Raw genomic sequence first — 27,733 nt, 5'->3', positions numbered from 1 at the left:
ATTTCAACATGTGGATAAAAATCAAATAATAGAATTGTCTGAATGGCCCAACAGCAGGGGATTGGGTAAATATGTTAGGACACATATACAAAATGATGCTTATGTTGTAATACTAAGTAAAAAAAAAAACAAAAAAACAAAAATGGCTACAGCACGGTTTGGCTGCTACGACAGAAACTATGTAAACTCTCTCTTGCTTTCCCTTTTTTTTTTTTTAAAGACAGGGTCTTGCTCTGTTGCCCAGGCTGGAGTGCAGTGATGCAATCCTAGCTCACTACAGCCTCAAACTCCTGGGCTCAAGCCATCTTCCTGCCTCAGCCTCCCAAGTAGCTGGGACTACAGGCATGCACCACTGCACCCCGCAATTTTTAAAATTTTTAGTAAAGACAGGGGCTCATTATGTTGCCCAGGCTAGTCTTGAACTCCTGGCCTCAAGTGATCCTCCCACCTTGACCTCCCAAAGTGCTGGGAATACAGGCATGAGCCATTGCACCTGACCTAAACTCTCTCTTAAAAGAATGGAAGAAAATGTAAGAAACAACAATAACTATTATCTGGGATGGTGAGATTGTAGGTAATTTTTTCATTCTCAATAATGTTACTATTCTTTTAGAAAGGTTAATTTTATAGAACTTTTATAGTTTTTAAAAATAAATTTTAACAGAAAGAGCCAACCCCTGCACTGAATCCACTATACTAACAGTGAAGGTGATGGCCGGGTATGGTGGCTCACACCTGTAATCCCAGCACTTTGGGAGGCCAAGGCGGGTGGATTATTTGAGGTCAGGATTTCAAGACCAGACTGGCCAACATGGTGAACCCCGTCTCTACTAAAAATCCAAAAATTAGCTGAGCGTGGTGGCAGGCATCTGTAGTCCCAGCTACTTGGGAGGCTGAGACACGAGAATCACTCGAACCCGGGAGGTGGAAGTTGCAGTGAGCTAAGAATGTGCCACTGCACTCCAGCCTGGGTGACAGAGGGAGACTCCATCTCAGAAAACCAAACCAAACCAAACCAAACCAAAACAGCCGGGCGCAGTGGCTCACGCTTGTAATCCCAGCACTTTGGGAGGCCGAGGTGGGCAGATCACGAGGTCAGGAGATCAAGACCACGATGAAACCCCGTCTCTACTAAAAATACAAAAAATTAGCCGGGCGCGGTGGTGGGCGCCTGTAGTCCCAGCTACTTGGAGAGGCTGAGGCAGGAGAATGGCGTGAACCCGGGAGGCGGAGCTTGCAGTGAGCCGAGATCGAGCCACTGCACTCCAGCCTGGGCGACAGAGTGAGACTCCGTCTCAAAAAAAAAAAAAAAAAAAAACAAAAACCAAACCAAAACAAAACAGTGAGGGTGTTAGTGAAGCCTCCTTATCTCACTCTCCCAGCTCATTGGGTGCACATGTGTATGCCTTTGGAGTAGATGTGGCAGTCATCTCACCCCGTTTTCCAACAGAAGAGGCAAGGTACTGTGGCTGGCCTAAGGCCACAGTGAAAAACGACCCATCTAGAGCCAGCTTTCAGACATCCCAAACAATGCTCTCTCCCCGCACCTCAGCCTCCTAAAAGGCCTTGAGAAAGATGGCAGCGAAGCCTGAAGCTGTCCTGTCTCCCAGGACTACAGGATGTAGGAGGTGAAGCACCACTTCAGTGTGTCTCAGCCAGGCCCAGGGAGCGGGAGAGCAGCTGCCAGGGGCCCTGAGGAGTGGCTGTGCCGTGTCATCCCCCTGCTGCAGGGAAGGGACTGGGACACTCACGGAGATCCACTGCTTCCTGTCGCCGACCCACTCCTCGGCCCCTGCCAGGCGGCGTTGCTTGTACTTGGAGAGGTCTTGATAGGCCACAAACTCGTTCAGAAACAGCTTGATCCCCAGCAGCTCAGCTACCACTGGGCAGTCCTCCCACGCCACACCCATCAAGAAGGCTACAGGCCGCAGGATGTAGGAGCAGATGAGCTGAGGGCACAACGGTATGGCTGGCACCGAGGGCTGGGCCTGGGCTCTGCTAGGTCTCCAGCCACCACTCACCACCCACCTGGGGCCATCCTCTCTACAGACTGAGTGTGGTGGCCAGAAACGCACCTGGAAGCTGAGCCCTTGGATGTCCACCATGTCTCCCAGCCAGGAGAGGGCAGCATTGATAAAGTCCAGCACAGCCAGGAACGCAATCAGGTTGGCAGCGATGTTGGCGACCACCTTCACGGAGATGGCGGCCCCAGTGCTGGCTGCTTCTATGAGGTTCTGAGCATCTCTGTTGTTGGGATCAAGAATGATCATTACTGGCCTGTCTCCACAACCAGCAAGGGTCCCTATCCTATAGGCTCAAATAGGAACCCTGGAAGAGCATTTCAGAGCGGGAAATCCTAATTTTCCCTGAGACCCAGAGAGAAAAAGGGGCTGGTCAAAGCACCGGGATAAGATCCAGGTTTCTAACGCTGAACTGTCCAAGATGGAAGCCATCAGCCACACATGACAGGAGGCTGTCTGAATTGAGTTGTGTTGTACAAAATACAGAGCAGATTCTGAGGATTTAGTACCAAAAAATGCAAAATACCTCAATAATTATTATACTGGTTACATGTTGAAATGACAATACTTTGGGGTATACAGGGTTAAGTAAAATCGGTTATTAAAATCACCCATTTCTTTTCACTTTTTAAAAGACAACTACTAGAAAATGACAGGCGCCTCACATTACATTTCCATGGGACAGCGCTGCTCCAGTGCCTCAGAAAGTTGTGAGGTTGGGGTCATCCGCTGTGCCCAAGCACATGTGTCCAATGTGGTGCCTTTTCAACATTGTTTAAGGTTTAAAAGTTACCTAACAGTTATTAAGACTATGACGGGATGTTAGGAGGTGAGTGAAATCAAAGATGGCACTCAGCATGTCAATGTGTGGTTGACACCCTGGCAGTCAGAGCTCAGGCACATAGAGATGGGGGCATGGGGCCTTTCTATGACCCTCCTCAACATGTACACACACCAGGCCACAGACCAAGAACCAGGCCACACTCCCAAGCCTTGCCTGGTCCATTGTTTCCTGCTGGTCAGAGACTGGACATTAAGATGTGAGAACTGGAGTGCGCATTTTTGCAAATGCTATGGTCTGAATGTTTGTCCTTCGGAAACTCATTTTGAAACTTAATCCTCAATGTGGCAGTATTGACAGGTGGGGCCTTTAAGAGGTGATTGGGTCATGAGGGCTCTGCCCTCCTGAATGGATGAATCCATTCCTGAATGTTGGATTAATGGGATAATGGGTTATCATGGGAGTAGGACTGGTGGCTTTTTGTTTTGTTTTTGAGACGGAGTTTCGCTCTGTTGCCCAGGCTGGAGTACAGTGGTGCGATCTAGGCTTACTGCAACCTCCACCTCCCGGATTCAAGCAATTCTCGTGCCTCAGCCCCCTAAGTTGCTGGAATTACAGGCGTGAGCCTTTATGCCTGGCTAACTTTTGTATTTTAAATAGAGATGGGGTTTCACCATGTTGGCCAGGCTGGTCTTGAACTCCTGACCTTAAGTGATTTGCCTGCCTCAGCCTCCCAAAGTGCTGGGATTACAGGCATGAACCATCGCACCTGGACTTGACTGGTGGCTTCTTAAGAAGAAGAAGAGAGATCTGAGCTAGCATGCTCAGTTCCCTGCCTGGCACCCCTCAACCCCTCGCCATGTGATGCCCTGTGCCAACTTGGGACTCTGCAGAATCCCCAGCAGCAAGAAGGCTCTCGCCAGATACAACCCCTCGACCTTGGACTTCTCAGCCTCCATAACTGTAAGAAATAAATTCTTATTCTTTATAAAGTACCCAGTTTCAGGATTTCTGTTATAAGCAACAGAAAATGGACTAAGACAGCAAATGAAGCCCAAACCAGAGCAGGAAAAGTGGAGAGATGGGCCCAGGCTAGTGGAAGACAGTGATGGACAGAGAGAACGGGACCCTCTGCTTTGCTCCCCCCACCTTGTACCACTACCCTGTCTGCAGGACCTCCTGCTGTGCTCACCCATAGGTCAGTTTCACTCCTTCCTCCCTCCTAAACTTGGACTCCTCCACCTCCGGGTAGACCAGCTTGGAGAGGGCCAAGGCACAAGGGGCAGCCATCACAGAGGCTGCAATCAACGAGGTGGCATCGATCTGCAAGAGTGAGAGTGCAGGTTCTAGGTGGACAGTCAGAAGAAATGCTGGCGACCAAGGAGTGCGGCCCAGGGCAGCAAGGGCACATGTGTAGTCTGTCCCACTGATATGTCCTCATTGTCATAACTGCTGTCATCACTAATAATAATAATACCTTTTATGTGTAGAAGGTCACAGGCTATATGTATAGGACCTTCTATTTCTTCCTGGTGCTCCCTAAGTTAGGAATGACAAATATTGTTATCTTCATTTTACAGACAAGAAAACTGAGACTCCAAAGGATTAAATATGGCTTCCCAAAATAAAGGAAGAGAAGGAATTAGAGCCTATCACATCTTTTGGCTCCAAGTTCAAGGTTCTTTCTTCCTTTTTAGGCTGTCACTGTTGACCACTAATCCCCGTTAGCTGAGGTTTCCCCCTTAGTGGAGGAATTTGTAATGCTTTCAGACAAAGCTCTAGAACCTAAGAGTTGAAATGAAATGGATTTAAGAGCTAAACCAATTCCACCTTAGTGTAGGTATGTACTAGCGTAGGAAGGTACTCCCTCTCTAGGCTCTCTCTTTGAATGCTTACTGTGACGGGGAACTCACCACTGCAAGCCAACCCATCACATCCAGTCCTGCAGTTTGAGAACTCCTTCTCAGGAAATCTGCCTCTATGACAGCCACCGTTTGACCCTCAGTCTCCTTCTGGGAGCCACGCTGTGAAAACCACTCCCAGCAAGATGGCAGAGCAATGTCAGCCCCTGGGATTCTCCCTTCCTGAAGTTTTATCTTCACTGGGACCCCAAACCCTTTGCTTCTCTGTTCTTTTCCACAGAGAAATATGACACGTTTCCCCCTATCACTGTGTCATTTACCAAGCAGGGAAATCAGAACCAACTCAGACATCTAACAATGGGAGACCGGCTAAGCGTCGTCAGGCTGTCATTGAAAATGATGGTCATCAAGGCCTCACAGTGAAGTGGGAAAGGGCCCACAACATTGCAGGTAGAGAAGAACCAAAACTAGGGGCAGTGGGGAAACAAACTCCAAAATGGCGCATGAAAAGATTAGAAAGAAATACACCAAAATGGCAATGAATTGACTGTCCCTGGCTGCTGGGGCCAGGGGTGATTTTCTTTCTTGCTTTATTTTTTTTTCCAAGACAGAGTCTTGCTCTGTTGCCCAGGCTGGAGTGCAGCGGTACAATCTTGGCTCACTGTAACCTCCGCCTCCTGGGTTTAAGCAATTCTCCTCCCTCAGCCTCCAGAGTAGCTGGGGTTACAGGTGTGCACCACCACGCCCGGCTAATTTTTGTATTTTTAGTAGAGATGGCGTTTCACCGTGTTGGCCAGGCTAGTCTCGAACTCCTGACCTCGTGATCTGCCCACCTGGGCCTCCCAAAGTGCTGGGATTACAGGCATGAGCCACCATCCCCGGCCGATTTTCTTTTCTTTCTGCATTTTGGTATCTTTCTTTTCTTTCATTTTTTTTTTTTTTTTTTTTTTTTTTGAGATGGAGTCTCACTCTGTCGCCCAGTCTGGAGTGTAGTGGCGCCATCTTGGCTCACTGCAAACTCTACCTCCCAGGTTCACACCATTCTCCTGCCTCAGCCTCCCAAGTAGCTGGGACTACAGGCGCCCACCACCACGCCCAGCTAATTTTTTTTTTTTGTATTTTCAGTAAAGACGGGGTTTCACTGTGTTAGCCAGGATGGTCTCAATCTCCTGACCTTGTGATCTGCCTGCCTTGGCCTCCCAAAGTGCTGGGATTACAGGTGTTTTGGTATCTCTCAAAATGTCCACAACAATATTTTTTTTAATAAACAAAAAGCAAAATAGATGTTTCTTCTTAAAGTTTGTAATAAGCCAACTGCATTCTAAAGTGTTAAATAAAAATAAAAAGGAGGAGGGAGGTAAGTTGAAGACAGACACTCAGGCTGATAAAAGCAGAGGGCAGGCCAGGCACAGTGGCTCACGCCTGTAATCCCAGCATTTTGGGAGGCCAAGGCGGGCAGATCACTTGAGGTCAGGAGTTTGAGACCAGCCTAGCCAACATGGTGAAACCCCATCTCTACTAAGAATACAAAAATTAGGCCGGGCGTGGGGCTCACACCTGTTATCCTAGCACTTTGGGAGGCCGAGGTGGGAGGATCACAAGGTCAGGAGTTCGAGACCAGTCTGGCCAACTTAGTGAAACCCCCATCTCTAATAAAAATAGAGAAAAATTATCCGGGTGTGGTGGTGTGTGCCTGTAATCCCAGCTACTCGGGAGGCTGAGGCAGGAGAATCACTTAAACCCAGGAGGCGGAGGTTGCAATGAGCCGAGATCGCACTATTGCACTCCAGCCCAGGCAATAGTGCGAGACTCCATCTCAAAAAAAAACAAAAATTAGCCTGGTGTGGTGGTGGGTGCCTGTAATCCTAGCTATTTGGGAGGCTGAGGCACGAGAATGGGTAGAACCCAGGAGGCAGAGGTTGCAGTGAGCTGAGCACTCCAGCCCGGGCGACAGAGTGAGACTCCATCTCAAAAAAAAAAAAAAAAAAAAAGCAGAGGGCAGATCGTGGGCACCCCTCATTACCATCTCAGGGAAGTGCCAGGCCTGCTGCTGAGAAGCCAGGCTGGAGACCCTCTCAGGCTCTGAATCCCAGGTATTGTGTCCTTCTTCTTTTTCTAAACCCCAGTTGTTTCTTTTTAAAGATCGACAAAACTTCTTAAAATGTGAACAAGAATTGGCAGCAGCCTGATACCTCCCCAGGGCCCTGTGTGGACACTGGGTGTGCAAGCCTGGGCCCCTGCCCCTTGCTGGATGAAACCCACTTGGGGCAGGTGTCCTCTCTGGACTTTCTGGGCTGGGCTTTGGGACTTCCCCTGCTTCCTCCTCAGTTGCTCAGCCCCAGCTGGGATGGTGCCACACCTGGAATCTTGGGATTTTCCCTCCACCAGGCAGGACCCTGACCCTTCCTCTGACTTGTAGATTACATCTGGTTTGTAAACCTGAGTCACGGCAGAGAACACACCCTGCAGTTGTCACATTCCTGCACACTGTCCCCTGGGTGACCCAGTTGTGGTCACAGCCTCAAATGCTGCAGTTGCTAGTTTCCAGCTCATCATGGAAAGGGCTGAGTCCTGCACAGGCAGGGCTCCCTGGGCACTGGGCCAGCCCACACCCACCTCCCCACTGCCAGCTACTCTGCAGGGCTGTGACATTCCCCAGCCCTGCCTCCCAGGCACCTGGTCAGGAGAGCCTTCCATCCTAGCATCCCAGGGCCCACGCCTGCCCATAACCCTTCTCTCTCTGACCCAAAGGGTCTCGCTCTGTCACCCAGGCTGGAGTGTAATGGCATGATCATGGCTCACTATAGCCTTGACCTCCTGGGCTCAAGTGATCCTCCCACTTCAGCCTCCCCAGTACCTGGGACTATAGATGTGTGCCACCATGCCCAAGTAATTTTTTATTTTTTAAATTTTTTGTGGAGATAGGGGTCTCCCTATGTTGCCCATGCTGGTCTCAAGCTCCTGGTCTCAGCCATCCTCCTGCCTTGGCCTCCCAAAGTACTGAAATGACAGGCATGAGCCACTGCACCCAGCCTAGAAGCCACATTTTTTTTTTTTTTTTTGAAACAGAGTCTTGCTGTGTTGCTCAGGCTGGAGTGCAATGGGGCGATCTCGGCTCACTGCAACCTCTGCCTCCCGGGTTCAAGCAATTCTCCCACCTCAGACTCCTGAGTAGCTGGGGTTACAGGCACCTGACATCATACCTGGCTAATTTTTGTATTTTTGTAGAGACAGGGTTTCTCCATGTTGCCCAGGCTGGTCTTGAACTCCTGACCTCAGGTGATCCACCCGCCTCGGCCTCCCAAAGTGCTGGAATTACAGGTGTGAGCCACCGCGCCCGGCCATAGCCACATTTTAAAAAGGAAAAAGAAATAGGTTAAATTAATTTTAATAATGTCTTATTTAACTCAATATATCCAAAATATTTTCTTTCCACCCATGTAATCAATATAAAACTATCAATATGGATGACAAAATAAAAATTTAAAATTAATAAAACATCTTAAAAGTTTTTCAATACGACTAGCCTCATTTCAAGTGCTCAATAGCTATGTGTGTTTGGTGGCTACTGTACTGGACCGTGGAGATCTAGAAATATCCAGATATTAGCAATAGGAGGGATGTGCGGAGAAGGGAGCCAGAGATTGAGCAACAAAGTGGTTTTAAGAATCTGGGAGCTTGGAGGCTGGGCGCAGTGGCTCATGCCTGTAATCCCAGCAGTTTGGGAGGCCGAGGCGGGTGGATCACCTGAGGTGAGGAGTTCAAGGCCAGCCTGGCCAACATGGTGAAACCCTGTCTCTACTAAAAATACACAAATTAGCTGGGTTGGTGGCGCATGCCTGTAATCCCAGCTACTTGGGAGGCTGAGGCAGGAGAATTGCTTGAACCTGGGAGGTGGAGGTTGTAGTGAGCCGAGATTGAGCCACTGCACTCCAGCCTGGGCGACAGAGGGAGACTCTGTCTCAAAAAAAAAGAAAGAAAGAAAGAAAAGAAAGAAAGAAAAGAAAGAAAGAAAGAAAGAAAGAAAGAAAGAAAGAAAGAAAGAAAGAAAGAAAGAAAGAAAGAAAGAAAGAAAGAACGAACGAACCTGGGAGCTTGAAGGAAAGGGCAAGAGAGACCTTTCTGGGATTCAGAGGCTGAGGGCAGAGCCAAAGATACTGAGGAACTGACTGGGGAAGGAAGTTAGAGGGCGTGCAGTACAGGGCTGGTGCAGTGACTGTCATGAGCCAGGTGGGGGCAAAAGAGAGCTGCTCTGGAGAAAAGACTGGGGCAGACCCAGAGATTGAAGGGAAGGAAGGTTTGTTTGTTAGGTGCTTTTCCTCTGGGCCAGCTATAGTTGTAGTCTGGGGCTTTCAAACCAGAGACTGTAAAATGGAGGCTCAAGGGCACCTAGGGATGATCCTGGCTGCCTCTGCCCATTCTGTGCAGCTAAAGGGAAGTGGGTACCCAGGCCCTGTCAATGGGGAAGCCAGACTGCCCAGGGCTGGGCCTGGACTTTTGCCTGAGAAAGGGAAGAAAAGAGGGCTGAGTTTTAAGCCAGATTGTGGAAATGGGCGAGCATTCTTCCAGTGTTTAAGTTCTAAGTAATGACTAGGAGGAACACCAGCGTTATTCTTTTCGTTGTCTAAGGGGACCAGAACAAGGTTAAGACATTTAAAGCCCTAAGTTCTGAAAATATTATGGCATCCCCCTCCCCCAATATCCTGCCATGAAAAAAAGTTTCAGGAACAAAGTTTTGGGTTTCCATTTTTGAAATATCAAATTCCTTCTGCTGGGACTCTTAAAACAAAACCTAGAATAAAGGGCTCAGAAGTAGCCTCAGAAGAAGTTTTTCTGTCCTGCCCTCCCATTTATCAGTCCAATTCTCCTTCAAGGCTAGCCATAAAAACTAGAATTCCCCTTCTCCAAGGCAGGGCACGGAGACCAGAAGCCCTTTTCCCCAAAGCCAGCCATAAAGCCTAAAAACATTGCTTTAACTTCCCTCTGCCTTTCTGGGTAAAAAGTGGCAATAAAGAAATTATCTGACCTACTTTGTTTGAGTGTAGGTCATAAGACCCCCCCTTCCAGAGAGGATCTTGCCCCATACCCAGAAGGAAAAAATGCTCAGAGAGCCCAAGAAGAGTCTACACAGACAGGCTTTGCTGTTTTTCCTCCACTCAGTCGATTAGTATTAGATCACACTCTGTTTGTCCAATTCTATTTCTATGTGGCTATCCATACTTTGTTGAACCTGAGCGTAAAAATGGACAATTTTCCCTGTATCTTTGGGTCTTCCTTCTGAAGGCCCCCGTGTGTATGCATTAAATAAATTTGTGTGCCTTTCTCCTGTTAATCTCCCTTTTGTGAGCTGATTTTTCAGTGAACCTTCAGAGGACGTAGGGGAAATTTTCCCTTGGCCTCCACACTTCCAAAAACAATTGGTGGTGGGGTGGGTGGGTGCACCAGTTTTAATGAGCCCTTTTCTAGGCCTCAGCAAGACAGGTGCAAACCAGATGACAGTCTCTAGAATTCTAGATGGGAGGGTACCAGGCCAGAAACCAAAGCCCCTGAGCCCAAGGGGACTTCTTGAAAAGTCACGCAACAGCTGGCCCTGCCCAGACAGCTCTGTGGCATGTAGAGCTGAGCTTATTGGTGTGGTCCAGGCATCCGGAGTGAAGGAGAGATGGAGGGGCAGGCTGGCTGTTTGTTCACCCATCTCTCATCATCCCCAGGGACAGAGATGAGAGAGACAGGTGGAATTTGGGATTAAAGAAGGGGACAATGTAGGTCATTTTCTGGTCACCGCCTACCACCACCCCCCCCCTCCCCCCACCCCCCACACAGCATCCAGAGAGCCTGGGGCAGGGGCAGAGAGCCAGAAGGCAGGGCAGGGTCAATCTCCAAATCAGCACATACAGGCCACCTCACTCTCATGCTGAATGCTACCACCTTGTGTGGGGCAACTTACCCAGCTTATGACTGTACTGCTGGGCATTTAGGCTGTCCAGTTTTCTTGCTTTTGCAAATGTTGGAATTTTGCATTTCTTGAACACTTGTGAGAATATCCCTATATCACAATTTTTCTAGCTGGATCAAAGGGAAAGAATATTTTTAAAGTGATTGAAGCTGGATGCAATGGCTCATGCCTGTAATCCTAATATTTTGGGAGGCCAAGGCAGGAGGATTGCTTGAGCCCAGGAGTTCAAGACCAGCCTGAGCAACATAGCAAGATCCCGTCTCTACCAAAAAAAAAAAAAAAAAATAGCCAGGGGTGGTGGCGCACGTATGTAGTCCCAGCTACTCAGGAGGCTGAGGTGGGAGAATTGCTTGAGTCCAGGAGTTTGAGGCTATGGTGAGCTGTAATTGCACCACTGTGCTCCAGCTTGAGTAACAGAGGGAAACTCTGTCTCTCTCTATATAAATACATGTTGGTGTCATGTGGGGAGTTAAAAAACAAAAAATAAATATTTTTAATTGCTCTATATAATAAAATACAATATTTTATTATATAAATAAAAAAATTAAAAGTGATATATGATAAAATAATAAAATATTATATATAGAATAAAATAAAAAAACAAAATATTATATATAGAATAAAATAAATAAAAAATAAATAGACTGATAGGCCTTCACCAAAAAAGGTTACAGTAAATTAAACTGTTACCATGAGTGGGTGAGTACCACACACTTGCCATTTGGGGGCACGTAAAGGGTTTCATATCACTTAGAAGAAAGATAAGTTATTATCGTCTTAATTCCTTTGAACATCAGTGAGCTTGAATATCTTTTTATAATTTGTGAACTATTTTCTCCTGATCAATGATTCTCAACTTTTATTAAAAAAAAAAGAGAGAGAAAGTATGTGAGTACTCAGGTGTATATACCTAAAAGCCTACTTACACAGAAAGATTTGGAATGACATTTTAGGTCAGTGGTCTCAAATTGGGCGGGCATCAGAATCACCTGTGAGGCCTGTTGCAACGCAGTATGCTGGTTCCACCCCCATCATTTCTTTTCTTTTTTTGAAACACAGTCTCACTCTGTTGCCCAGGCTACTGTGCAGTGGTGCGATCTCAGTTCACTGCAACCTCCGCCTCCCAGTTTCAAGTGATTCTCCTGCTTCAGCCTCCCAAATAGCTAGGATTACAAGCACCCACCACCACGGCCAGCTATTTTTTTGTATTTTTAGTAGAGATGAGATTTCACCATGTTGGCCGGGCTGCTCTCAAATTCCTGACCTCAGATGATCCACCCGCCTTGGCATCCCCCATCGTTTCTGATTCAGCAGGTCTAGGGTGGGCCCAAGAATTTGCATTTCTAACAAGTTCGCAGGTGATGCTGACAATGCTGGTCCATGGACCCCACTTTCAGAATAGCTGTTCTACGCTATTAAAAGCAATTACCAGGCCAGGCACCGTGGCTCATGCCTGTAATACCAGCACTTTGGGAGGCTGAGGTGGGCAGATCACAAGGTCAGGAGATCGAGACCATCCTGGCCAACATGGTGAAACCCTGTCTCTACTAAAAATACAAAAAAAAAAAAAAAAAAAAAAAAACTAGCTGGGCGCGGTGGGGCGTGCCTGTAATCCTAGCTACTCAGGACGCTGAGGCAGGAGAAACGCTTGAACCAGGGAGCTAGAGGTTGCAGTCAGCCAAGATTGCGCCACTGCACTCCAGCCTGGCAACAGAGCAAGACTCCGTCTCAAAAACAAACAAACAAAAAAAATTAATAAAAAATAAAATCAGTTACCCATGGGAAGTGGGGTTAAGAAAGAGATTTAAAAACTTATTTGTTTCTGCAATAAGCAAGAATTTCTTTGATCATTAAGGAAATAAAATTGAGACCTTTGAAGATTTGCCTGTGAAAGCACAAATGTGAAAGCATAAGGTGTTTTATGAATGTAAAGCATTATTACCGGGCATTATGTGAGGGATGCATTTGAGAATTTCCCTCTGCCCACCATGCAGTAGCATTGTGATTGCTTTTAGGGCCTAATTCACACCACTGGAATTTGACCTACAAATTCTTTGTGCTGTGTAAACTGCACAGGCAATAATTTAGGAGCAGAGGCAGGACTTGAGCCCAGAGAGAGTGTGGGGAAAGGGAGGAGGGAAGGAGTAGGACGGATCTCTAGGGACAGCCCAGGTGTGAGACTGGAGAAATGAGCACAAATTTTGGAGTCAGACAGATCTGGGTTTGGGCATCTCACTTACTCTGGAGCCTCAATTTTCTCATCTGGAAAATGGGGATATTAAAACACCTAGCATACTGCCTGGTACCTAGCATGCACTCAGTAAATGGAACACCAGGAAGCTTTGCCCCAGGTGGCCATGCGCAAAGCCCGAGCAAATGGTCCAGCCCACTGGGCTCAGGGGAAGCCACTCCTCTTGCCAGCACAGCAGGCCCAAGAGAGAAGATCTGAGGGCTGCTCTGGCCAGGAGCTGTGTGGGGCTCCCACAAAGATGGGCTTCAGGTCCTCAACATAGCCAAGCAGAAGGAGGGCTCTACCTACCCCAAAGGAGATGTAGGCACCCAGCAGGCTGCCAGCAATGGTGGCGTAACCTCCGGTCATGACAACGTGGACTTCAGAGAGTGTCATGTCTGCCAAGTAGGGCCGGATCAGTAATGGAGCCTCGGTCTGCAAACAGGAAAGATGTCAGACAAGCAGGGTGGGGGTGATTGGGCACATCCTCTCCCTTCACAGGTCACAGTGAGCAGCTGGGAGTCCCACGGTAAGAGGCAGCAGGATGGGGTAAGGACCAGGGTCTGTACTTGGCTGAGCTTCTCTGAACCTCAGCATTGCCTACCTCTACAGAAGGACCCCCATCCCTCCCTCCCGGCCTGACAATGCTCCCCTGTGTTGATGTCCTGCCACGTGCCAGGCACCCCGCTAAGCACGTCACCTTTGTTACTCACAACCTTCTGAGATAGAATTGGGTATCTCCGTTTTCCAGGAGAGCAACAGAGGTTCGGTGGGGTTCCAGGAATGACCCCTGCTCATGTAAAAGGATGTGAAGCAGGTCCTGCTGCAGGCCCAAGCTCTCCTGCAGCCACAGCGGTGGCCAAAAAGAAAGGAGCTTGGGCATTGGATGAGGGGTGCATTTCTGGGCATCTGGGCAGCCCGAAGCCCTTCATTACTCATTCAGTATCTAGTTGTTGAGCGCCTACTGTGTTCCAGGCACTGTTATATAGAATAGGAACATGGCGTCGACAGGATAAAGTCCCTGCCTTCATAGGGCTTATATCCTGGGAGCCGTGGAGGGTGGGAGGATATAGATAATCAACAAGCAACCAAGCAGGTAAGCAATGTCATTTTAGATGGTGATGAAAGCTATGAAGATATGTGTGATAATGCCTACTGGTTAGGGGTGTTTAAAACTGAGTAGGCCAGGCACAGTGGCTCACGCCTGCAATCCCAGCACTTTGGGAGGCTGAGGTGGTAGGATTGGCTGAGGTCAGGAGTTCCAGACCAGCCTGGCCAACATGGTGAAACCCTGTCTCAACTAAAAATACAAAAATTAGCCGGGCATGCTGACACATGTCAGTAATCCCAGCTACTAGGGAGGCTTAGGCACGAGAATCGCTTGAACCCGGGAGGCGGAGGTTGCAGTGAGCCCAAGATTGTGCCACTGCGCTCCAGCCTAGGTGACAGAGCGAGACTCCATCTCAGAAAACAAAAACAAAGAAACTGAGAAATCGGCAAAGCCCTCTCTGAGGAGGTGACATTAGGTTAGGGTTGGCTGAGACCTGAAGGAGCCAGTGACATGGTTTGATAGCATAGCATTCCAGGCAAGCGAATAGCAGAGGCCCTAAGGCAGCAAGAAGCTCTGCAAGGTCCAAAAGCCATAGCAGTCAGCATGTCTGCTGCAGATGGGCGCGGGGGAGCCGCCTGAGACAGAGGCAGAGGGGGCAGGTGGGCCACAGAGGGGCTAGGAAGCCACGGTGAGGGGCACGCTTGCTTAGGCAGGAGTGGAATGATCCGCTTTGTGTGTTTGAAGGGTCACTCGGGTGTATGAGTGAAGGACGGATAGTACGGGAAGGAAGAAGAGGTAGGAGGAGACGGCAGTGTCCAGGTGAGAGGCAGGTGGCCCGGGCAGCGGGGGGTTGTAGATGGGCCACAGAGGCAGCGCTGTGGGAATGCTGATAGATTGGATGCCGCAGTGGGGGAAGCGGAGGAAGGCAGGGCAGCTCTTCCAGCTCCGCCTGAACCATCCTGTGGAAGATGTTCCCACTTGCCAAGAGGGGAAGGGCTTGAGAGGGGCAGGGGTGATGAGGGAGGGGAGCAACAGTTCAGGTTGTTTGGACTTAGCGTCTTAATGTGCGACACCCCTTAGATCTCCAAGTGGACGGTCAAGGGGCCAGTTGACCTGTCAGTCCTGAGTTCATGGGAGATCAGGACTGCAGAGCAGGACCTGAGAGACATTTAAAGTGTTTAAAGCCATGGGGCTAATGTGATCCTGCAGGGAGGGAGTGTGGATGGACAAGAGCAGAGGGCCCAGGCCTGCCACAAGTAGAGAGGTTCAAATGATGCCACTGATCCCTGAAGGCTCCCCATCCCTCCCTCTTGGGGGAAATGAGGCGTAGACCCCGGCATCTAGGTCAGCTTAATCAACAGCTTGTCCAAAGTGAATTCACCTTGGCAGCGCTTCACATCGCCCAATGTCACTTTCACCTACATATTTTCCCAGCAAAACACATGGAACACATTTGCAGCCTTTCATATAGAATAACTGCTTTGCATTTTAATAGTGTTTTCCTCTTTTGCCTCATTTTGAACACCTTAAGGGATTTTTTTGACAGTTTATCTGAGAGCACGTCTATCTTCATCGGCTAAAAACAAGACAAAACTAAACAAAAAATAACCAGAACAAAAACTTTCAAATCAACACACATGCACCGTAGCAAAAAAGATAAAAATATTCTCCAAAGTTTCCTAAACTGTCCAGTGAAATATGGCATCTTCTAACCAGTGTGTCTCTTGGTGACTCAAACATTAGGCAGATGGGCCAGGACAGGCCTTGGCAGAGTCTCCAGAGGGCCATCCTCAGGGGGATCAGGCTTTCTGAAAGGGACTCGGCACCAAGGGTACTTTCAGAGTCACATTTACTTTGGAAAACACATTTTAAGAAAGAGGGAGAAAAGAAAAGACAAAATGATGCAGTGGAAAAAACTCTGACCAGAAAGAAGAAAACCTGGATTTGAAGCCGTGGCTTATATGTGTGGAATCTTGGTCAAGGGATTCCCATCCCCTGAGCCTGTTTCCTCATGTGTAAAATGAGAAACTGGATCCATCTGGAGGATTTGTGAGTCTTTGGGCTGATGAAGACCGCCTAGGGCTAGAGTGGTAAGAGAAGCCAGACAGATGACATCCTCCCTGGCATGACCCAGGCATCCCCCAAACAGAGTATCCCTGGAGCAGCAGAATTTGATGACCCTGGGAGAAGGTTCAAATGGCTCTTCCTTGGACTGAATCAGAGCTCTGGGGATCCAGGGAAACTGCCCTCTTTGGGGAAGCTGCTGATGAGCATGAGGGTAGGAGGCTTCCATACCCACCTGGCTCACAAAGATGTTTCCAGCCACACTCAGGGTCTCAGTGGCTGTGGTGCCCATGGTGACTTGCATCAGCCAGGCAATCTAGAAGGAAGCAGAATGTTCTTTGTGGGCTGACATCAGCAAACCCCAGAGTCAGAGGGGGCTGGAGTGGAAGACCTTACACAGTTTCCTCCCAACTCCCAGCCCAGTGTAGGACCCCTTCATCTACATTTTCCCAAAAGGTCCATTCATCTTCTTCTTCCACACCTTCATTGATGGGGGCTTACCCCTTCCCAAGGCCATTCATTTCACCGTAGGAATGCAGAAAGGATTTCCTGGCCCAATATATTTGAGAATTGTGAAATGCACACACACACACACACACACCCCTTGGAGATTACCAATACACATTAGCTTAGTAAAGCCTCTGAGAAGTCCTGCATTAAGCCTATTTAAATTTTCATAGCATAATGTCTAGCCTAGTTTCCCTAAATTATTTGACCATGGGATTAGGCTACCTTTACCTGGTAACATTTACTAACATGCTGTGGAACTAGAGTTTTGTGGAAAAGGTTTTGGGAAACATTCTATTAGAAAGCCCTTCCCCTTCCCCTTCCCCTTCCCCTTTCCTTTCCTTTCCTTTCCAAGACAGAGCCTCGTTCTGTCACCCAGGCTGGAGTGCGGTGGCACAATCTTGGCTCACTGCAACCTCTGCCTCCCAGGTTCAAGCAACTCTCCTGCCTCAGCCTCCTGAGTAGTTGGGACTACAGGCACTCGCCACCATGCCCGGCTAATTTTTGTATTTTTAGTAGAGATGAGGTTTCACTATGTTGGCCAGACTGGTCTCGAACTCCTGACCTCAGGTGATCCGTCTGCCTTGGCCTCCCAAAGTGCTGGGATTACAGGCATGAGCCACCACGCCCAACTAGAAAGCTCTTCTTTTTAATCAAGATGAAATCTGCTTCCCTGGAATTCTCTCCACTGCTGGTGCCTCTCAGGTTGCCCTTTGCCTAATCTCTCTTCTGTAAGTATTTGGAGACAGCTATCCTCCCCTAACTTCCTCTTCTCCAAGCTCCTCATTCCCTATTCCTTCAACCATTTTGTGGAGGGCATGGTTTCAATCCCTTTCACTATCCTGCTTATAGTTCAGTTTGTCATAGCCTCTTGGTTGAACACAGTCTCCAGGTCTGGGGAGAATCACCTCCTTTATGCTATGCTGTGTGTGCTCTTAACATAACTGCTATGGTTTGAATATCCCCACCTAAACTCATGTTGAAATTTGATTGCCAAATAAAAATATATATATATTTGATTGCCATTGTAACGATGTTGAGAGGCATGACCTTGAGGAGGTGATTAGGGCATGAAGGCTCTGCCCTCATGAATGGATTAATGCTGTTATTGCAGGAGTAGTTTGGTTATCATGGGAGTGAACTCCTGATAAAAAGGATAAGTTTGGCCCTGATCTCTCTGTGTCTTGTGTGCTCACTTCTGCCTTCTGCCCTTCCACCATGTTATGACACAGCAAGAAGGCCCTTACCAGATGTCAGTGCCATGCTCTTGGCCTTCCCAGCCAAGGTTTCAATCTTGAAACCATACCCTCTATTTGGCCATGAGCCAAATAAATCTCTTTTCTTTATAAATTACCCAGTCTGTGATATTCTGTTATAGCAACAGAAAATGAACAAAGATAATAACCACAGGTTGTTTTTGCATTTCTGGAAGCCATCTGATGTTGCTGATTTATTCTGAGCTCAATCAGCTAAAACCTTGGAATCTTTTGCCAAGTCCAATGCTATCTGTTGCTGTCCAATGCTATCTCCTACATCCTAGTTTTGTGCAGCATATTTTATGAACATAAGCACAGGATCTGACATTTATACCAGCTAAGTCTGGCCAACATGGTCCACTGCTACAGTCTCTCAATATCTTTTCGGTATAAATTATTTTCTTCCCTCTACACCTTTTCAGTGCCGCCTCAAAACTGCAACCTTTCCTCTAGCAAGGACCACATTAGACTTTGGTGCTATTTCTCTTTAGTATCATGACAGGAGACCCTGGGAAAGGACATTTGGTCAGCACTAGATTCTGTGAGGGTGAAGATCCTGGAAGCAGGGGATTCAGGGAAGGTATGGGCCTCAGGAGCAAAGGATTCTAGGAAGGTGTGAACTCTAAGAGCCAGGGGTTCAGGGAAGATATGGACTTCAGAAGCAAGGGATTCTAGGAAGGTGTGAACTCTAAGAGTTGGGGATTCTGGGAAGGTATGGGCCTCAGGAGCAAAGGATTCCAGAAAGGTGTGGAACTTGGCAGCTGGGGATTCTGGGAAGGTGGAGGCACTGGGAACAGGGGACTCTGGAAGGGTGTGGGCTTGGGGAGCAGTGTGTCTGGGGAGGTTTGGGCTCTGGGAGCAAGGCATTCTGGGACAGTGTGAACCCTGTGAGCTGGTGACTCTGGGAGAGCCCTGGCCATGGGCACTGGGAACTTACCTTCAGGATCACCCACTGCATGAGGCCCACGTGGTAGAGAACGGATATGACACAGCTGAAAAAGACAATGATGGGCAGAACCTGCCGGGAAGGAGATCATAGGACCGCAGGTTAGAGGCAGGCAGGATGCAGGGTGCCAGGCGGGGCCCAGGAGACCCCAGACAGCCCACTCCATCCCAGGCCTTGCCACTCAGATGCCTGACAGGATCCGGGAAGATGCTCTGAGATCAGTGCATGAAGTCCCAGGGTTCCACATGCAGGGCCTCTTTGGAGGCAGCCTTGTCCTCTCGGCTCCCCTCTAAATAGTGACCAGCCGCCAGACCACCCCCTCTCCTCAGCACAGGTAGGCCTGTGCTGTGGTAGGGTGGGGCCTGAGTGTACCACTTTTATCTCCTGCTTCTTTGTCTCTAAAAGGGGAGTAAAATGCCCACATCTGAGGGTCGTTGTGAAGGTGGCAGTGTGCACCCTTCTCCATGAGCTCAATCCTTGGCCTCAGACTCTGGCCTTAACCTCCCTCTCATGCTTTGGGCCTGAATGAGGGGACCCTCATCATTTTGGTGCTCCACTTCTGCTCAGCACCAACATGCTCAGAATTAGGCTTATCCCGGACCTGAGCCAGCATCTCCTCCCATCACCCCATTTCCTATTATTAGTACCAGGCTTAACACTCCTCTTCCTTCACTCCAAGCTCACCCATTCTCCCTTTAGAATTTCTCTCACACCCATTCCCTCTTTTCCAGGCCCATGGAAAAGGAGGTTGCTTTTCTGCACCCTAGTCTTTCTTTACTGTAGTCTGATGTTTAGTAACAAACTGGCAAAAAATGGAGAGGTCTTTTAGTGGAAGACTAGTTTCATCACCTAGGATACAGACATACCCTAGTGCACTAAAGGTCAGGAAACAAGAATGCAGAAGCTCTCTATGGGCAGCTGTGGACTGATTTCCAAGATATGTTGTTAAATGAAAAAAGAGAAGGTGTACCACAAGAGTGTATGCTATGCTGTTATGTGGGTTTAAGAAGGGGGTGGGGGGTAGCCATGCATGATGGCACATGTCTATAGTCCCAGCTACTCAGGAGGCTGAGGCAAGAGGATTGCTTGAGCCCAGGAGTTCAAGGCCAGGCTGGGCAACATCGTAAGGTCCCCTACCTCTCCAAAAGCATGTGTGTGAGGGGCGTTGTGTGTGATCTTGTATAGGCACAGGAATCATTAGAAGGATGTGCAAGAGGCCAGCAACAGCAGGTGCCTTGGGGAGGGAACTGAGTGCCTTGGGGGCCAGGGATGAAAGGAAGTTTTCTTTTTTACCTTATACCCTTTTGTGTTGGAATGTTTGCTCTATTCTGTGTCCTGTGTTCCCAACAGTTTAAAATAGTCATGTAGAACTGGTAATAGCATGGGAGCAGTCTTATGCTACAATGTTAAATGGGAAAATTGGAATATTAAAATTATAGAAAGAAGCACTCCCAAATAGCCAAAGGATTTGTTTCTATGTGCTGGGGCTATGGAAATGTTGTTTTCTTTTTTCTTTATTTCTGAATTTCTCATCTGTTCCTACCTTTTTTATTTATTTTTTTTTTTTTGAGACAGAATCTCACTCTGTTGCCCAGGCTGGAGTACAGTGGTACGATCTCGGCTCACTACAGCCTCCGCCTCCTGGGTTCAAGTGATTCTCCTGCCTCAGCCTCCCAAGTAGCTGGGATTACAGGCGCTTGCTGCCACACCCAGCTAATTTTTGTATTTTTAGTAGAGACAAGGTTTCACCATGTTGGCCAGGCTGGTCTCGAGCTCCTGACCTCAAGTGATCTGCCCACCCCATTCTCCCAAAGTGCTGAGATTACAGGCGTGAGCCACTGTGCCCAGTTGTTCCTAGAATTTTCAATAATAGGTGGACATTTCTCAAGGGAAGGAGCATAGGCAGGAGAGGTTTGTGGGAAGATCAGTTTGGCTTTGAACTTTGAATTTGAGATGCCTGTGGAATACCAAGTGGGCAGCTGGATAAAAGGGTTAGGGACATCTGGGCCAGGCTTTGGCTTGGGGCTCTTTCATAAGAAGTACAGGTTGGCCCAGCATGGTGGTTCATGCCTGTAATCCCAGCACTTTGGGAGGCCGAGGCAGGAGGATTGCTTGAGCTCAGGAGTTTGAGACCAGCCTAGGAAACAAAGCAAGGCCCCCATCTCTACATAAACAAATTTTTTTTTAACAGCTATGTATGGTGGCACACACATGTGGTTCCAACTGCTCTGGAGGCTGAAGTGGGAGGATTACTGGATTCCAGGAGTTCGAGGCTGCAGTAAGTCATGATCATGCCACTGCACTACAGCCCAGACAACAGAGTAAGACCCCATGTTTGAAAAAAAAAAAAAAAAAGTAATCCCAGCACTTTGGGAGGCCGAGGCAGGTGGATCATTTGAGGTCAGGAGTTCGAGACCAGCCTGGCCAACATGGTGAAACCCCATCTCTACTAAAAATAGAAAAAAATAAGCCAGGGGTAGTGGCGGGTGCCTGTAATCCCAGCTACTCGGAAGGCTGAGGCATGAGAATCGCTTGAACCCGGGAGGCAGAGGTTGCAGTGAGCCGAGATCATCCGACTGCACTCCAGCCTGGGGTGACAGAGTGAGACCCTGTCTAAAATAATAATAATAATAAGAAGAAGAACAACAACAACAACAACAACAACAGGTTGAGGTGGCTGGTGGATGCAATTCACTGCAGAAATAGCCCTGAGTGAGAAGAACAGGAGCTAAGGACAGGGCCCTGTGGTCAGTGTGTCATTAAAGGGTGAGAGGGGAAGGAGGAGCCTGTGAAGGAGACAAAGAAATAGCCAAGGGCTGGAGGACGGCCAGAAGAGAGGCAGGATGGAAACCGAGGGGCAGCTTTTCAAGAAGGGATAGTCACTAGCACTGTGTCAGGGGCATCAGAGAACTCTGGAACGGTAAGGACTGAGCCAGACCCCTGGGACTTAGCAACTTGGAGGCACCCATGATCTAGGTGAGAGCAGTGTCAGAGGAAGCGTGGGGACTGAGGCTGATGTCAGTGAGCCAAGGTGGAAGTGAGACATGAAGAAGGGGAGACCACAAGAATGGACAGCCCTTGCAAGAAGCAGCACTGTGCTCACTGCCGGAGACTGGTGAGGGCCCGGCAAGGGCTGCTTTTATTTTTTAAGGAGGGAGAGTCTTGAGCAACCAAATTTAGGCTCTAGTTCAAAGTGAACTGGGATTACAGAATGGACCCTGAAGAGAATGGAGATTCTGCCCGGGCAGCTGGGAGGCAAGCCCTGCTGAGGCCTTTTCTTTCTCCTGTCCCTTCCCAGACCAATGCTGCAGGTTGTATCTGGACTTGCTCTGCTGTCATCTGTCACCAACTTCCCTGTGGTGGGGAAGTCACCCGACAGAGAACACCAGAACTGTGCCCCGTGACTCCTCCTCCCGCCTGGGGCTAGAAACACCTCCAGCACGGGTAGGATGACATCATCCCACACTCCTGGGACTGAGATGCAGAGAGAGTCACGTACTGTCTAGACTGCTTGTCCAGTGGATCCTGAGAGGGACTGCAGGGCAGCTAGCAGGCCTGCAGGGATGGGCCCACGCCAGGAAGGAGAGTGCCCGGGGCATCAGGACCCCACTGCAGCATTGGGACTTTCTCCTGCCAGCAATCAAAAGATTTTCTATCTGTGAGACGGAGAATGGTAGAAGAGAAGCTATGTTTTGGATTAAGTGGGGCCTGTCTAGGGAGGGGAGGGGAATGAAAGAGAAAAGAGGTGGCCCCAATTTTCTAAGGTAGGATAGAATATTAAATAAGGTCCCTGTGGCCAATATCATCTTACAGCCCAGGAAACACCTCTGGGGCCTGCAGGATGTGAGGTGGCAGAACAGGGCAGCAGCTCGAGGCAGTGCTGCTGTGGAAAGGGGAGGCAAGTGCCATTAAATTCCACTGTGTGCCAACCACGAGGGCTTGTCCTGGGCCAGGTCCCTAATATGTGGGGACTCATGAATCCTCATAGCATCTGTGGTGGATGTAACTGTCGCCACTTCACAAATGGGCACACGGAGGCTGTGAGATCTTGGCTACCCACCCGAGGTCACACACCTGCAAAGAGGCAGATGCATTTCCCAGCCACCATGCAGATTGCCAAGGTCCTGCCATGCCCCTTGGGAGGTTTGCCCTGGGAACAGTCCTGGAGGCTTGTTTCTCTGCCTTCAGGGGCAGCATGCATCCCTGCTGGAAACTGAATGTCTGTGTCCCCCTAAATTCATATATTGAAACCAAATTCCCTAGGTGATGGTATTAGGAGGTGGAGCCTTTGGGGGTGATTAGGTTATGAGGGTGGAGCCCTCATGAATGGGATTAGTGCCGTTGTAAAAGAGGCACAGTGGCTCACGCCTGTAATCCCAGCATTTTGGGAGGCTGAGGCCAGAGGATCCCTTGAGTTCAGGAGTTCAAGACCAGCCTCGGCAATATAGTGAGACCCTGTATCTACCAAAATTCAAAAAAATTAGCTGGGCATGGTGGCATGTGCCTGCAGTCCCAGCTATTCTGGAGGCTGAGGCAGGAGGATCACTTGAGCCAAGGAGATGGAGGCTGCAGTGAGCAGTGATCACACTACTGCACTCCAGCCTGGGCAACAGAGTGAGATCCTGTCTCAAAAAAATAAAAATAAAAAATAAAAGAGGCTCCAGAGAGCTCCCTCACCTCTTTTACCATGTGAGGACACAGACGACCAAGTAGGCAGAGAGCAAAGTGGGCCTCAACAGAATTCAACCTTGCAGGGACACTGATCTCAGACTTCCAGCCTCTAGAAGTGTGAGAAATAAATTTCTGTTGCTTGTAACCACCCAGTTTATGGCCTCCTGGATGGACTAAGGCAGTCCCCTTCAAGGAAGAGCCAAGTAAGTCCTGACCACTGCCTTGTAGAAATGGCTTTGGAGGCTGGTCCTGCTAGTACCATAACTCAAGGAAGAAGGAAATTCTAGCTCTTCTAGGCCAGTGGTTCTCAGCACGTGGACCAGCAGCATCCTTTGAGAATTTGCTAAAAATATTTTGGATTTAATAGGTCTACAGTGGGGCCTGATGTTTGGCCTTTCCAGATGCTGCTGGTGCAGCTGACCTGGACACCACACTCTGACAACCACAGCCCTGGAGACTAGATTAGACGCTCTGAGCAAACTTCATCACCTGGGCCAAGAAACAGGCTTTGAAGGCCAGATAAACCCCACTAAGGACATGGCCTGCCCCCTCCTCTCCCTGGAGGAAGCTGAGCCAGGGCTCCTGCTGACTTTCTAAGGCTGTCTGGGCAAACCCTCATGTCTCCAGACCCCAAGGCTTGAGCACTGTCGACAGTGCCCTGTCACCAGCCCCAGGCCACAGTGAGCCACTAAAACCCAAAGCTGGAAGATGCTCGGGGCAGCAGCTGTGGTGCACACTGTACCAGTACCACCGCCAGAAAGTGGAAGGGACTCATCTCCAAGTCCAGAGTAGCTGCATTTCTGGCTGTAACCTAGCTACGCCTCCTGATTTCCTGTTTGTGCCATCCCTTTGCCCAGAATGGCCTCAGCATTTTGCCCCTCATTCCCATTTCTGCCTGGATCCTGGGTTTTCAACAAGATGCCTCCTGCCTCGGCTGTCCCATCTCCCTTCTTTCAGCCATCCCACCCCAGGCTTCATTTACTTCCCATTCCCTTCACCGAAAACCATGCTCACTAAGGTTACCAGTTACCCCTTAACTACCAAATCCAATGATACCTTTTGGTCCTTATTTGATCTGTGTGTGTGTGTGTGTGTGTGTGTGTGTGTGTGTGTGTGTGCGCGCGCGCAAAATTTGGCACTGTTGACCACTGGGGACTGCAGAGTCTATATCAGACATCCCGAAACTCTCAGGAGATGAAGACATTTTCCTTGACCCTAGGGGTTCCTCCAGAGAAAATCTGAGCAGCACTGCTAAGCTTAGCAGTGGGTGCTTGTTCCAGAGGCTAGAACAATAGTGAAAGAATGAGAGTCTGCTCCCGGGTCAGCCAGACCCAGGGGAGTATGATCATGCGGGTGGAAAGTTACTAGAAGGGAGACAGAGCCAAGGTGGAATGACTAATCCAGCTGATACAGCCAAGGGGTGACTGCCACGTCCACTGTGCTGGACTCCAGGTCCAGGGCAAGCTGAGGGCTGAAGAAGCCCTAGGGAGAGACTTTACTTCCCCCCAGAAGAGAGCAGCTGGACCATGGCCCAGCAGGAAGCAGCTTGGATTCTGAAAATCTGAGTGAGCTCAGAGAAGACTTCCCCAGACTGAAACTGGCCAAAGGCCTTGGACTAGGTCTGTATGATTCATAGAAAGAATAGAGAGAACTTCCTGAGTCTTCTGTTCAGCTCAGCATTCAACAAAACCACCCCTACCTTGAGGGCAAATCCCAATAATATGTGTGTGATATAGGGGAGAGGGGGAGGCTGAATAAAATGTTGTGATTAGTGAGAAAGAGAATTCTGTGGCCACAGAGCATTTATCCTAGTCCTCCTTCCTCTTTCCTGGCATTGCTATGGATGGTGCATCAGCCAATACACGGTCCAGGAATTTGTCCAGAGGACAGGGCCTACCAGGGGCCAGGAAACTGCTGGTGTTTCGCTGGGAAATGCTGAGGCTGGTTAATGATAAACCCACCTCACTATCATTTTTGTCTTAACCGAACATTCAACTTCAAAGTTTTTTGCCACCACTGATACATTTTTATTTTCTTCTTCTTCTTCTTTTTTTTTTTTTTTTTTTGAGATGGAGTCTCACTCTGTTGCCTGGCCTGGAGTGCAGTGGTGCAGTCTCCGCTCACTGCAACCTCCGTCTCCCAGGTTCAAGTCATTCTCCTGCCTCAGCCTCCTGGGTAGCTGGAATTACAAGCGCCCGCCACCATGCCTGGCTAATTTTTGTATTTTTAGTAGAGATGGGGTTTCATATTGGCCAGGCTGGTCTCGAACTCCTGAACTCAAGCGATCGAACCACTTCAGCCTCCCAAAGTACTGGGATTACAGGCGTGAGCCACCACGCCCAGCCTAATGGATACATTTTTAAATGATCATTTTTGTTATTCAGAGTGCTTTTTGTATTTGGAGGAGAGACATGAGGCCGTTGATTTCTGCTGATAGTATGAGGAAGAATACATCCCTTAACCAGAAGTCCAGTGGAGGGGTTCTAGCTCTGGCTCTGCGCCAACTCACTGTGCCATTGCGGCCAACACACTGCTCCTGTCTGGAGCTTGGCTGGACCATCAGTAATACAAAAGGGAGGCCGCAACACCACTGAGCTCCCTCCTGGTACCAATGGTCAAGGAATCCATGATTCTAAAGGGTGATTCAGGGAGAGATGCAAGCAGCAGGTGTGTACACATCCTTCCAGAGAGGGAGGCAGGCTGGGAGGAGACATAGCTAATGTGGCCAGGGGGCAGACACAGAGGCAAGCCCAGCAATGACGCAGGAGAGACGCGGGCCAGTGGTGGGCGGGGGAAGGCGCTCTGGCGGACAGCAGCTGCGTGGCCCGCCGGGCACCTCTTCCCCTGCTTTTTGGCTAACGAGGCTTTAATTTCCCTTTGGGAAACAGCTTACCTGCCTATCCACTGAACTCTGCCCTGCACTGTGGACACGCCAGCACATTCTCACCTCCATGCTTTGCCCATGCCATTTCCTCTTCCTGCCTAGCTCAGTCTGTCCAAATCTCTTCTGTCCTAAACTCCATGTCAAATGCTGCCTCCTCAAGGAGTCTCCCTCACGGTCTCTTATTAGAAGAATCTCTCCTTATACGCACTCCTCAGGCCCCTCCGTTACTGCACTTGAACGCAGCTGCCTGGGGAGGTTGAACTGCAGAGTGTCGGGTGTGTGTGTTTTTGTTTTGTTTTGTTTTGTTTTGTTGAGATGCAGTTTCGCTCTTGTTGCCCAGGCTGGAGTGCAATGGCATGATCTCAGCTCACTGCAACCTCTGCCTCCTGGGTTCAAGCGATTCTCCTGCCTCAGCCTCCCAAGTAGCTGGGATTACAGGCATGCACCACCACACTTGGCTAATTTTGTATTTTTAGTAGAGATGGGGTTTCTCCATGTTGGTCAGGCTGGTCTCAAACTCCCAACCTCAAGTGATCCGCCTGCCTCAGCCTCCCAAAGTGCTAGGATTACAGGCATGAGCCACCGCGCCCAGCTGAGTGTGTGTGTTTTAAAGTGTAAGAAGCTGCGGGAGCCTCCCTGCCTGGGTGGACGCCAGAGGTCACCCTGAAGCAGACCTTACTTGTCTTTTCTGAAACTTCGGGTACCCCCGCATTGGTTATGCAAAGGTAAGGGAGCAGCTGCTCGTTACCCTAAAGGAATATGGTATTAGGGGCCTTTGCGGGGCTGACATAGGCTCCCCCTCCCAATATTCTCCCTATGCAGAACTGGTCTCAGAAAACATGATGGGCAAATTTGCCCAGGGGGCAAGAAGACTTCAGAGAAGATAGGAACCTGGGCCCCTCCCTTTCCTCCTAGGGCTGACGATGTTAGACTGGACATTCCCTAGGAGTCTGCTGGCACAAGAGATGCTAAGGCTCCAAGGGGAGCTCACCAGAGGTCAGGGTCAGGGTCAGGGGTAGGCAGGAGGGTCTGAACTCATGATCTGGCTCAACGCCAGCCCAGAAGTCCATAGCTAAGTCCATGGCTTGGGCCAAAAGTCTCCTGGGTCCAAGACCCCCAGCAGGGTGGGGAGACTCTGGGAACAGTGGCCAGCATAATGAAAAACAGAAGAAACCTCTGGAACCTGCACATGGGGTCTTGCATAGCAGCTCCATGGTGATGGCGGTCCCGGATGTACCAGAGTGGGCAGCCCTGATTTCCCTCTCAGTGCCACGCATCAGTGGCAGAAAACTGGGGCCAACTACTGGGTGAGTGGGGCCCAGGTCTCTCTCTTCTGCCTGGCAAGGGAGCTTAAGCCTAGAGCAAGCTGGTCTTAGACAGTTGGAGTGTAAGACAGGCAGAGGAGGGCTACACTAGAGTTCTTACTAAACAAGCCATTTCGGTGCTTAAACAATGAACTAGGGAAAAAAGAATACAACCACAGCTCCACCCAGAACAGTGAAGC

General features: G+C 49.2%; 1 protein-coding gene across 22 annotated transcripts in view, besides 3 other annotated features; it reads right to left on the bottom strand.

Moving 5' to 3' along the window:
* The window catches only part of SLC28A1 (solute carrier family 28 member 1), a 90,988-nt gene that overhangs the window by 38,380 nt on the left and 24,875 nt on the right, over positions 1-27,733 (bottom strand). For 16 of the 22 annotated variants that reach the window (NM_001321722.2, NM_001321721.2, XM_011522204.4 and 13 more), the window contains 6 exons: positions 18,666-18,746; positions 16,201-16,281; positions 13,160-13,285; positions 3,995-4,125; positions 2,076-2,244; positions 1,752-1,949 (listed from right to left, as the gene is read on the bottom strand). In NM_001321722.2, coding sequence (NP_001308651.1) covers positions 1,752-1,949; positions 2,076-2,244; positions 3,995-4,125; positions 13,160-13,285; positions 16,201-16,281; positions 18,666-18,746 — 786 coding nt within the window. Of the gene's footprint in view, positions 1-1,751; positions 1,950-2,075; positions 2,245-3,994; positions 4,126-7,954; positions 7,974-10,494; positions 10,731-13,159; positions 13,286-16,200; positions 16,282-18,665; positions 18,747-27,733 lie in introns of those variants that run through there. The other 6 variants (XM_011522215.3, XM_011522217.2, NM_001287761.2 and 3 more) reach the window with 4 other exon arrangements.
* Positions 9,144-9,203: an enhancer, noted in NCBI's record as "active region_9995". NCBI's record gives its function as "activates an Ori minimal core promoter by ATAC-STARR-seq in GM12878 lymphoblastoid cells {active_cell/tissue: GM12878}" and the evidence as "EXISTENCE:reporter gene assay evidence [ECO:0000049][PMID:35858748]".
* Positions 12,616-13,116: an enhancer, noted in NCBI's record as "H3K4me1 hESC enhancer chr15:85467385-85467885 (GRCh37/hg19 assembly coordinates)". NCBI's record gives its function as "activates a minimal SCP1, AML or CMV promoter by ChIP-STARR-seq in naive H9 embryonic stem cells {active_cell/tissue: H9 hESC(naive)}" and the evidence as "EXISTENCE:reporter gene assay evidence [ECO:0000049][PMID:30033119]".
* Positions 21,753-21,952: an enhancer, noted in NCBI's record as "active region_9994". NCBI's record gives its function as "activates an Ori minimal core promoter by ATAC-STARR-seq in GM12878 lymphoblastoid cells {active_cell/tissue: GM12878}" and the evidence as "EXISTENCE:reporter gene assay evidence [ECO:0000049][PMID:35858748]".

This window comes from Homo sapiens, chromosome 15, assembly GCF_000001405.40.
Source record: "Homo sapiens chromosome 15, GRCh38.p14 Primary Assembly".
NCBI classification, from domain to species: domain Eukaryota; kingdom Metazoa; phylum Chordata; class Mammalia; order Primates; family Hominidae; genus Homo; species Homo sapiens.
This window is presented reverse-complemented; position numbering and strand designations above follow the sequence as displayed.